This window comes from Homo sapiens, chromosome 13, assembly GCF_000001405.40.
Source record: "Homo sapiens chromosome 13, GRCh38.p14 Primary Assembly".
NCBI lineage: Eukaryota > Metazoa > Chordata > Mammalia > Primates > Hominidae > Homo > Homo sapiens.
Window position 1 is genome coordinate 24,621,356 of NC_000013.11, and position 12,205 is coordinate 24,633,560.

A 12,205-nucleotide genomic window follows, 5' to 3' on the forward strand; every position below is an offset into this window, starting at 1 on the left:
GATCTCAGCTCTTTGGGGGACTGCAGTGGTGACCTATTATATTTTTAATTGATTTCATCATAAAATTTCTCAAGATTTCAACTCTGTGCAGGACTGTGGCAGTGACCTATTGTGGTTCTTGATTAAACTCATCAAGGCTTAGATTGTCCGTCACAGTTGTTTGTTTGTTGTTTTTTGAGACAGAGTTGCGCTCTTGTCGCACAGGCTGGAGTGCAATGGTGTGATCTCGGCTCACTGCAACCTTCACCTTCTGGGTTCAAGCAATTCTCCTGCCTCAGCCTCCCGAGTTGCTGGGATTATGGGTGCCCACCACCAGACCCGGCTGATTTTTTGTATTTTTAGTAGAGATGGGATTTCATCATGTTGGCCAGGCTGGTCAACTCCTGACCTCAGGTTATCCACCCGCCTCGGCCTCCAAAAGTGCTGGGATTACAGGCATGAGCCACCGTTCCTGGCCTGTCACAGTATTTCACTTACAAACCTGGGTGCACACAGTTAGCAACCATAGTGATAAATGTTTGTAAATTTCCCTTTTTGACGTTTTTTTTTTTTTTTTTTTTGAGATGCAGTCTCGCTCTGTCCCCCAGGCTGGAGTGCAGTGGCACGATCTTGGCTCACTGGAAGCTCCGCCTCCTGGGTTCACGCCATTCTCCTGCCTCAGCCTCCCGAGTAGCTGGGACTACAGGGGCCCGCCACGACGCCCAGCCAATTTTTTGTATTTTTTAGTAGAGACGGGGTTTCACCATGTTAGCCAGGATGGACTCGATCTCCTGACCTCGTGATCCACCTGCCTCGGCCTTCCAAAGTGCACGGATTACAGGCGCGAGCCACTGCGCCCGGCCTGACCTATTTCTTTATGAACACAGTTCATCTGTTAACAACTGTTACACCTGTAAGACTGTCATTACTATGCCTGATACTCGCAAAAATATGCATATTATTGCCTATTTTATTGTGTAAAGTGGCCTATGACATGTTCTGTCATGTCTTTATATGATTCTCAGATAAATTCCCTTTTAAAAAATGTAAATAAGCTGGGTGAAGTGGCATGTGCTTGTGGTCCTGTGTCTGGAATTGGTGGGTTCTTGGTCTCACTGACTTTAAGAATTAAGCCACACACCCTCACAGTGAGTGTTAGAGTTCTTAAAGGCAGTGCATCTGAAGTTGTTCATTCCTTCCGGTGGGTTTGTGTTCTCGCTGGCCACAGAAGTGAAGCTGCAGACCTTCGAGGTGAATGTTACAGCTCATAAAGGTGGCCCACCCGGAGTTGTTCATTCCTCCCATCCGGAGTTGTTCTCATCCCTCCTGGTGGGTTCGTGGTCTCACTGGCCTCAGGAGTGAAACAGCAGACCTTCACAGGGAGTGTTACAGCTCATAAAGGTGGCACCAACCCCAAAAGTGAGCAGCAGCATGATTTACTGTGAAAGAACAAAGCTTCCACAGTGTGGATAGGAGACCCCAGTGGGTTGCCACTGCTGCCTCGGGGCAGCCTGCTTTTATTCCCTTATCTGACCCCACCCACATCCTGCTGATTGGTCCATTTTACAGAGAGCTGATTGGTCCATTTTACAGAGAGCTGATTGGTCCGTTTTACAGAGAGATGATTGGTCCATTTACAATCCTTTAGCTAGATACAAAACTTCTCCAAGTCCCCACTAGATTAGCTAGACACAGAGCACTGATTGGTGTGTTTACAAACCTTGAGCTGGACACAGGGTGCTGATTGGTGTGTTTACAAACCTTGAGCTAGACACAGAGTGCTGATTGGTGCATTTACAATCCTCCAGCTAGACATAAAAGTTCTCCAAGTCCCCACCCGACTCAGGAGCACAGCTGGTTTTGCCTAGTGGATCTGTAGCCAGGGCCGCAGCATGCTCTGGCCTTGGAGTCTGCTCTGGCCATGCTTGAGGAGCCCTTCAACTCACTGCTGCACTGTGGGATCCCCTCTCTGGCCTGGCCTAGGCTGGAGCTGGCTCCCTCTGCTTGCGGGGAGATGTGGAGGGAGAGGCGCGGGCGGGAACCGGGGCTGCATGTGGCACTCTGGGGCCATTGTGAGTACCGGGTGGGCACGGGCTCAACGCGCCCACACTCAGAGCGGCCTGCTGGCGCAGCCGACGCCAGGCAGTGATGGGCTTAGCACCCGGGCCAGCAGCTGTGGAGGGGGCACCTGGTCCCCCAGCACTGCTGGCCCGCCCATGTCATGCTCAAATTCTTGCTGGGCTTCAGCTGCCTCCCCGTGGGGCAGGGCTCAGGACCTGCAGCCCACCATGCCTGAGGCCCCCACACCCCCTCCCCTGTGGTGGGCTCCTGCGCAGCATGGGATGGCCCCAGCACAGGATCCATTAGGCGAAGCCAGCTGGGCTCCTGAGTCAGGTAGGGACTTGCAGAACTTTTATGTCTAGCTGGAGGATTGTATATGCACCAATCAGCACTCTGTGTCTAGCTCCAGGTTCGTGGATGCACCAATCAGCATCTGTATCTAGCTAATCTGGTGGGGACTTGGAAAACTTTTATGTCTAGCTAAAGGATTGTAAATACACCAGTCAGCACTCTGTGTCTAGCTAAAGGTTTGTAAACGTACAAATCAGTGCTCTGTGTCTAGCTAATCTGGTGGGGACTTGGAGAACTTTTATGTCTGGCTAGAGGATTGTAAATGCACCAATCAGCATTCTGTGTCTAGCTCAAGGTTTGTAAATGCACCAATCAGCACCCTGTCAAAATGGACCAATCAGCTCTCTGTAAAATGGACCAATCAGCAGGATGTAGGTGGGGTCAGATAAGGGAATAAAAGCAGGCTGCCTGAGCCAGCAGTGGCAACCCACTCGGGTCCTCTTCCACAGTGTGGAAGGTTTGTTATTTTGCTCTTTGCAATAAATGTTGCTGCTGCTCACTCTTTGCATCTGCACTGCCTTTATGAGCTGTAAACACTCACTGCGAAGGTCTGCAGCTTCACTCCTGAGGCCAGCAAGACCATGAACCCACCGGGAGGAATGAACAACTCCAGATGCGCTGCCTTAAGAGCTATAACACTTACCGTGAAAGTCTGTGTCTTCACTCCTGAGCTAGCGAGACCACGAACCCACCAGAATGGAAGGAACTCTGAACACGTCCGAACATCAGAAGGAACAAACTCTGGTCACACCGTCTTTAAGAACTATAACACTCACCGCGAGGGTCGGCGGCTTCATTCTTGAAGTCAGTGAGACCAAGAACCCACCAATTCCGGACACACAGTGGCCTCTGGGGGGATTCCACCAGGGTTCAGGCCCTGGACTGGGGCTGGATGAATAGATCCCATCAGGTCCCACCCTGGGGGCCAGCATCCAGAGAGAGAATCATTAACCAACCACACCAAGGAGGGTGAATTTGCCACTGTGATCAGGGCTGTGAAAGAAAAAGGAACATGGGGTCTGAAATCGGGGCAGTGGGGCAGTGGGGAGGGCTGGCTGCCATCTCCCAAGGAAGGGCGTTGAGCCGAGCTCCCACAGCTGAGCAGCTGAACGGGTGGAGGGAAGCCCTGCGTTGGGGGCAGAGCACCAGGCCTGGCCCAGCCAGGGAGTGGCAAGTAAGTCCTTGGGGAAGGAGTGGGGTCCAGGTTGGACCAGGTCAGGTCAGTGAGCGGGACCTCAGGGGGCCTGAGAGTGAGGAAGGCTGGAGAGGCTGAGGAGCCTGGAAGCTGTTCAGCCCAGGAGGGGTGACGGGGGTGGGGAGGCTCTCCAGAGCCACAGGAAGCGGGGAAGAGAGCTTGTGTTTGGTGGGGAGAACAGACAGGATCAGATCCAAGCTTCTGAAAAGATCCCTCTGGCTTCACATAAACAAAGATTGCACAGGCTTTCCACATCTCACTTGGTTCTTTCCTTCTTAAATGAACCAGCTTGTGTGAGAGAAGATGACAGCATATTTAATTTCCTAGCACTTACCACCAACAGCCAAATAATTTATTTTCTATCTTCTTCCTCTAGAAAATAAGTTCCAAGATTTATGTAAGCTTTGTTCACTGTTATATCTCCAGCACCTAGGACAAAGTCTGAGATTTGTTAAATGAACTTATAGGAAGCCATTGGTTTGGGCTGAGCTCCTGCAATAGACCCAACAGAGCAAACCAAAATGGAGTTACTCCTGCCAAACTTTCATGACACCAAACTGAAACTAAGTTGTTTATTTGACCTTCCAAGAGATCAGGAGAGAGAGATAATAGCCAAATCCCCAAACAGGTCGGTTTTAACAAGCAGGAAGAAGTCCCCTCTTCTTTAACCTTTACGAGAAAAACTACTTTCTAATAACCAACCCGCCTTCTGCTTCCTGTTTCTGTTTTCCTCAGCCTTTTTCTGTTTAAAAAGTCAACCCCCTCTGCTGGCCTTATCAAAACACTCCTATTTTATGGAATGGAGTGTTGCTCAATTCTAGAATCACAAATAAAGGCCAATTAGGATCTTTAAACTGCATTTGTTGTAATTTTTGTCTTTTGACAAATGTAATAAGCACTCAATAAACATGTGAAAAGAGGGAGAGCAAGAGATAGAGAAAGAGAGAGGGAGCGAGGAAGAGAGAGAGGCCTCATGGAGGAAGGAGGGTGACTTCTCTGCACCTTCAGAGGCAGGTGCCCCCACAGTGCCAGTGCAAGCACTGAGCAGATTTTGTGGGGTACGTGTTGGTGTAGCAAGAAAGACAAGGCCTGTATCCAAAGAGCTGGGTTTGAGAATGAGTGTTGCCACTTACTAGAATGAAACCTTTGTCAAGTTACTGAACATCTGAACTTCCAACTCCTCAAATGTAAAATGGGTGTGACAACACCCACCTCACCGGGTTATTGCAGAGGCTGAACGTGTAGCTGTGATTAAGAAGGGCTGTGTACACTGCAGAGAACTATGCAAATACTGGTAGTCTCTACTTTGTGGGCCCTCCCAGGAGTCAGAAAAAGACAGGACCAGGTGGCTTTTTGGGCGTCCATTGCAACATCAGGGAGAGGAGTGAAGCCACAAGGATGACATGGTCTATGGCACGTCCGGCTGCTACTGCTGCTGCCCATGACACACTCCTGGAGCCCAGGCAGAGTCTGTGTTTGTCATCTGAATTTCCCAGCTAGTTTAGAGTTTATGACATCAGAAAAGACAGCAAAATTCCAGAAAAAACTTGGGTCAAGTGCACTGCAGACAAATGGATTTCAAATTTGGTTTCTCCTTGCCCTTAGAATACATTTATTTAAAAAAACCTTTCTAGCAAAAGATATTACTACAGAGGAGAGAAACCTTTCTTCCACAGCGCCCTTGCACATTTGATCTGGTTTGCCCAGTGCGGGGTGGGGACAGGAAACTGACACCCTAGCAGGTTAATGTCTTCCAGGAAGTCCATTACAGATTCTGAATTTAAACCTGGGTCTACTAATGATTGTTCTCCAATCACTTAGCTGCCACTTGTGAGTTTCCACTATGGAAACCAGTGATTTTTCACAGAAAATTAGTGAAGCAAATGGAATGATTTTTAAAAGCATAGGGTTTGAAGTCGGAAGGCTGGAGTCCAGAGCCCTGCTTCTGACACCTACTGGCCTGTCATTTTCACCTCCTAACATCTGAGGAGCCCAGGTTCTCCTTAGCAAAGTGGGGATGATAATTCCTAGGGCACCGGGCTGTTGAAGATTTAACTGGGATAATGGAAACTCACAGGCCATAAAACGCCCAGCCAGTGATGAGTACTCACTACACTTTGGCCGCAGCTGGTTTTGATTTTAAATAAGTAACCTGCAAGTCTGTATCCATCGCTAGGCACTCCGGGGAAAAGGGGTGCGTACAAAGGAGGGATGAACCCCCAGCTGTGGCTGCAATGGAGCCAGCATCCCATCAGAAAAGGGGAGCCCTGACCCTCCTCCCCTTCCCCTGGGACTGTTCTCAGGCAACGTGGGCTCCAGCCTGCAGGTGCCCGGCTCCACCGCCAGACGGCGCCGTGGCAAGGGACACCGCACAGGGCGCTGGGCTCCTGGAAGAGGGGAGGAGGCCGGCAAAGGTTTCAGAGGCAAAGTTGTCGGTTACAGGCCAGCCGCGGGAGCAGGGCGCGGAGCAGGGAATAAGCAGGAGCACTCTGTGTCAGCCTGGTTCTCTAAAGAGCGGGTAGTTCAAGGAAAGACACCGAATCAGGCATCCAACAACTGGGGAGCAGGACGGCGCCAGCCAAAAGAAGTTCTAGTTGGCCCAAGCCCGGGAGGCCTCACCCTTGCAGGTGGAGCTGGACCGGCTTCAAAAATGTGAGGTCCAGAGGTTGGGTAGATCATGGTGGTGCAGACACCCCACTAGGGCAGGATCGATTCCCTGTGGGGGAGCAAAGGGACATGAGAGATAAGCTCGGCCCAGGAGTAGGGGCCACATTACCCTTGGTATTAAGCAAAAGGCAAAAGAGGGTGTCCGTGGTGTAGCAAGGAGTCCCCAGGAGTTCCCAGCAAGGCAGGGACTGATGAAAACAGCGTTTGAGGAAAACAGGCCGAAGCCTGAACCAATAGCCTTTAGGCTGCCAGACTGGTTTAGGGGAGAGAAGCAAAACAGATTTCCTTTTAGCAAAGCGCACGTCCTCACTGGCTACACTGTTAGCTCTCTGGGAGCTGATGCCATGCGCATAGTAGGTGTGTGGCAGAGACAGCTAGACATAGCCACCGAAGAGCCTGCTCGCCCGTAGAATGCAGGGCTATTGCAGGAAAGCATCTGCCCGGAGGCTCTGCTTCCCCATTTCCTCACACATTGAGCTAGCCAGAACCATGTGAGTGAGTCTGCACCAGCAACAGCAGGCACCATGACTGCCCCGTGGCTCTCTCCTAAAAGATAGCTCCCACTCTCTCTCCCTCCTCCTTCCCCAGGCTGGGTGTTGACACACAGGGCGAGGCCACATGGCAGAGCCTCCCCTGGGCCCTATTCCGGAACAGCTGTGAGGAAACCCCTCCTCTCCCACTCTACTGCGCCTCCCCTGGACCTCACATGAGAAAGCAACTTCCATTGTGTTGAGCCACTGACATTAAGGACATTAGCAAATATAGTAACCAGTTTTACCTGCCATAATGCAAGGTTTTGCTATACATCTGTTGAATTGATGTGAATTTAACTGAACTCCTTAGGCCTGGGAGTTTTATACGATTTTAGGTTTAGCTGGAGGAAGAGGCTGGAGCGCCAGTCCTGCGTGTCAGGCCTCCGGGCCCAAGTTAAGCCATCATATCCCCTGTGACCTGCATGTATACATCCAGATGGCTTGAGGCAACTGAAGATCCACAAAAGAAGTGAAAATAGCCTTAACTGATGATGTTCCACCATTGTGATTTGTTTCTGCCCCACCCTAACAATCAATGTACTTTGTAATCTCCCCCACCCTTAAGAAGGTTCTTTGTAGTTCTCCTCACCCTTGAGAATGTACTTTGTGAGATCCACCCGCTGCCCACAAAACATTGCTCCTAACTCCACTGCCTATCCCAAAACCTATAAGAACTAATGATAATCCCACCACCCTTGGCTGACTCTCTTTTCGGACTCAGCCTGCGTACACCCAGGTGAAATACAGCCTTGTTGCTCACACAAAGCCTGTTTGGTGGTCTCTTCACACGGACGTGCATGACACTAAGAACTCTTCAGTCTCTGCATTTCCATAAAGTGTGAACTTGGAAGGTTCCAGGGTCCCCACTGCTGCCATGGGGATTGCCAAGACTGGGTGGTTTGGGCCTCTTCAAACAATTTCTTGTAATTTTCTTTTTTTTCTTTTCTTTTTTTTTTTTGAGACTGAGTTTAGCTCTTGCTGCCCAGGCTGGAGTGCAGTGGCGCGATCTCTGCTAACTGCAACCTCTGCCCCCTGGGTTCAAACGATTCTCCTGCCTCAGCCTCCCAAGTAGCTGGGATTACAGGTGCCTGCCACCACACCTGGCTAATTTTTTCTATTTTTAGTAGAGACAGGGTTTCACCATGTTGGCTAGTCTGGTCTCAAACTCCTGACCTTAGGTGATCCACCTTCCTAGGCCTCCCAAAGTGCTGGAATTACAGGAGTGAGCCACCATGCCCGGCCCCATAATTTTCTTAAAGTCTAGTATCTAAGACTTCAAAACAAGATTTAAGCCAGTAAAATCAAGGGGGCAAGGTTTTGAATTGCCAGTGGTGCTTTAAAGCATTTACAGGCCAAGGGCATCCTTCTGGACCTGACATTCTTCTAGAGACAATGAGTCATCCATAGAGCTCTGACCCTGAATTAAGCATTAAAAGTGATTGTTGAGCAGGACAGTCCTGCACAGCCAAAAGTTTCCTGTAAAGTCACAGAAAGTAGCAGGAAAGATGTTTTTATCCCTGTCCAGAAAAAAGAGCTAAGGTTTCACAGCGCTGGAGGTCCCCAAAATGGTCCAAATTAATAAACAGTCAGAAACAATCTCCAAACCTTTTGAGAGAAAATCATCCAAGGTCATTCTTTTTAAGCTGACCTTCCTACCCTGCCTTCTTCTCTGCAGCTTCTTAACAAAAACTCAGCACAGTAGGGCATTCCTGTGGGGGCCACCGAAGGTAAGTCATTCTTACTCTAGTTCTCCGGGGGGAAAGAAAAGCATTCTAGACATAAGGAGTGGACAGATAGTAATCCTAGAATAAAGAAGGGTTTATAAATACCAAGAATTCAAAGCAAATTAGTTATCAGGCCTAATGAAGATCAGGAACGCTGATGAACAGCTCCCAGCTGGGGCAAATTAGGTTTTAATAAATATAAGGTCCCTATGTCATCTTTCCATCTGCTCCTTTTCCTGAGACTTTCAGGAGAGGCATGTGAGGTGATGAGACATGGAAGATGGGCCCTCAGAGATCTGTATTCCCTTAAGTCCCGGAGCATCATAGAAGCTTGGGTCTCAAAGCAAATCTGATTAACTCCCCCAGCTTAATAGAGGAAGAAGCCAAGCCCCAAGGGAGGAACTGACTTCCTGAGCCCCTACAGTTTGTTAGTGAGAGATGGAAGAGAGCCTGGAGCACAGATCTCCTGAGTGGGCTCTGCCTGAGCAGCACGCGGTGAATAGGAACCCACACGCAGGAGATGATGGACAGAGCTTCACACCAATCACCCCCATGTGTCGATGTCTCCTCCTCCTCCTTGGGCAAACCCCTTAGTTTCTCCGACCTCAGCTTTCCATTTATAAAAATGGGCACAGTAGTGCCTCTGGTGCAGAGAAGCTGGGGGTAAGAGGGGGCTTTCAGCACAGCGCAGGTGCACAGGGCTGTTAGAAGTAGAGAGGAAATGCTGAATGGGTGGCTGATGGACAAAGCAAGAGAAACTGACCGACCGAAAGACCTTGCCCACTGTTTATACGCCTTCGATCAATGTCCAAGTGAGTTTGTCCTGGCTTTATGTGAACAGTTTTGTCCACTGTCCAAGTGAAACTTGAGCCACTTGAGGAGGAAGAACTGCTTTACCTCTCATTATACTGTATTTTCCCCTCCTATTGAAATGGAAATGTCAAGTTCAAAATTCTTATGCAAGGTAGGAAGAGAATCAAGTCAGTTCTTTCAAGAGCTCCACGCCCTTCACCCGAAACACAGCCCAGGAGTCTTTCCCCTATCAGCCCAGCAGTGACTCAGCTTGCCTCTGAACCTTTCCACCCACCTCTGGGCGGTCCTTGAGTCAGGAATTCAGCATCAGTGACAGGTCCTTTGTCCAGGGCCTGCTTTGCACACTTTGGAAATACAAAGAAGTTGAAGACAATGTCCCTATTCTGAGACACACAAACACACAGCAAAACCATGACCACTAAAACGTAAACACTCAAGTTCTCACTTCCTGTTGCCACATTGTTAGAGGCGTGTGAACCAGAACAACTCCATCTTGAATAGGAGATGGGTAAAATGAGGACAAGACGTACTGGGCTGCATTCCCAAATGATTAAAGCATTCTAAGACACAGAATGAGATAGGAGTTCAGCACAAGATACAGGCCATAAAAACCTTGCTGATAAAACAAGCTGCAGTCAAGAATCCGGCCCAAACCCACCAAAACCAAGATGGCCACAAGAGTGATCTCTGGTCATCGTCACTGCTACACTCCCACCAGTGCCATAAGAGTTTCCAAATGCTATAGTAACGTCAGGAAGTTACCCTATATGGTCTAAAAAGGGGAAGCAGCCGGGGGCAATGGCTCACGCCTGTAATCCCAGCACTTTGGAAGGCTGAGACAGGCAGATCACAAGGTTAGGAATTCAAGACCAGCCTGACCAACATGGTGAATCCCCGTCTCTACTAAAAATACAAAAATTAGCCAGGCATGGTGGCACGTGCCTGTAATTGCAACTACTTGGGAGGCTGAGGCAGGAGAATCACTTGAACCTGGGAGGTGGAGGTTGCAGTGAGCCAAGATGGCGCCACTGCACTGCAGCCTGGGCAACAAAGCAAGACTCCATCTCAAAAAAAAAAAAAAAAAATGGTGGTGGGGAGGCGTTCCCTTGTTTAGCATATCATCAAGAAATAACCATAAAAATCGGCACCAGCAGCCCTCGGGGCTGCTCTGTCTATGGAGTAGCCATCCTTTATTCCTTTACTTTCCTAATAAACTTGCTTTCACTTTACTCTATGGATGCACCCTGAATTCTTTCTTGCACGAAATCCAAGGACCCTCCCTTCGGGTCTGGATCAGGGCCTCTTTCCTGTAACAACATGGAGTCATGTCCTTCAGGCTGGGCCACTGTTACCTACCCTACTATATTCAAGTCTCATTCCTCCTTCGTCTACATCTGGGCTTTCGTCCCAGCTCTGTAACTAATCTAGTGGTGAGATCATAGGCCAATTATTCTATGAACCTCAGTCCTCCCAGATATAAAGTTGGGACAGTAATACCTGCTTTGCCTGATCAGAGTGAGGATTAAATGAGATATTTCATATACAGTGTTTAGTGTATATACAGTCCCTGGCACAGAGTAACAGCTGCCAGTAAACAGTCACTGTTCCACGGGCATTTCATTTGTTCCACAAGCCTTTGCTGAGCAGGCACCGCGAGTGCCTGAAGGATGCACAGGCCCTGCTTGCAGAGGGCTCCCTGTCCTTCTGTGCTTTGATTCAGACTTCCTGAAAATCAAGTGGTTGCTGTGTGCCACGCTTTCATTTATCCTTCACAATTGCCCCATGTGTAGGGGGTATCCCATCTCACAGCAGAGGAAAATGTGTCTCAGAGAGGCTGTCACATGCCCACAGCCAGCAGGACACAGCTGATCTGGACCCAGGGCTCTGCACCAAAAACCTGGGCCACCTCATCCTCCCGTATGACTCACACCACAGGGAGCAAGAGGAGAGTCAGGAAGTTGGGTTCTAGAACCAAGGAGTTGGGTTGCTGAGCTTAGAAATGCTTCCTCACTCTTCTTAGTCTCAAGGGAGGTGATGGAATAATGACAGAAACACTTGCCATTTATTGGAAGCTGTTACTCAGTGCCAGGCACTGTATATACACTAAACACTTTATATGCAGTATCTCATTTAATTCTCACTCTAATCAATCAAGGCAGGCATTATTGTCTCAACTTTATATCTGGGAATTCCAAAGTTCATAAAATAACTGGCCCATGATCTCACTACTAGTCAGTGACAGAACTGGGACAGAAGTCCAGATGCAGATGAGGCCAAAGCTCGGGCTCTGAATGGCTAGAATATACTGTTACCTTCTATGGGAACAGCAGAGGCTGAAGGGAGGTCACCCTCACACTTCCAAAGAGCTTGCTATGGATTGGCATCTAGACCTGACTACACGGTGCACATATACAGTCTACGTAGCATAGAGTGCTGCAAAACGTGTTGTTAAAACACCAGCAGCCTCTGCTTGTTATTCAGTCAACACTGATAAGAAGAAACAACCAAAGAAGGACCATAGTCAGTTTATCCTCTTTTATTAGTGATGATTTCTCTTTCTGGCAATATGGCTGATTAACATGGCCTGAAGTCCCTAGAATTGTTAAAATAGAATATCTTTTTTATGCAAGGCTGATCTTTAAAGAGAAGGGAGGACGGGAGCAGTAATTCTCAGGTGTCAAAAACTAGGAGGGAGGTGAAAATGGTGCCATATGTGTGTGAGCTGATGCTGTGGCTGCCCTCGTCCCCTGGGAGCTTGCACAGAAGATAAGATGAAGCTTCATGGGGAGGACGATTGGAACTGAAAACATACTTAGTTCCAAAACCCCTCCTCATGTGAGAGAATGTACTAGGAAGAACTTCCCCACTGGAACAAGCTGCTG

At 48.9% G+C, this 12,205-nt stretch overlaps 2 annotated features.

Moving 5' to 3' along the window:
- Nucleotides 6,267-7,105: an enhancer, noted in NCBI's record as "H3K27ac-H3K4me1 hESC enhancer chr13:25201760-25202598 (GRCh37/hg19 assembly coordinates)". NCBI's record gives its function as "activates a minimal SCP1, AML or CMV promoter by ChIP-STARR-seq in primed H9 embryonic stem cells {active_cell/tissue: H9 hESC(primed)}" and the evidence as "EXISTENCE:reporter gene assay evidence [ECO:0000049][PMID:30033119]".
- Nucleotides 9,616-10,195: an enhancer, noted in NCBI's record as "H3K27ac-H3K4me1 hESC enhancer chr13:25205109-25205688 (GRCh37/hg19 assembly coordinates)". NCBI's record gives its function as "activates a minimal SCP1, AML or CMV promoter by ChIP-STARR-seq in naive H9 embryonic stem cells {active_cell/tissue: H9 hESC(naive)}" and the evidence as "EXISTENCE:reporter gene assay evidence [ECO:0000049][PMID:30033119]".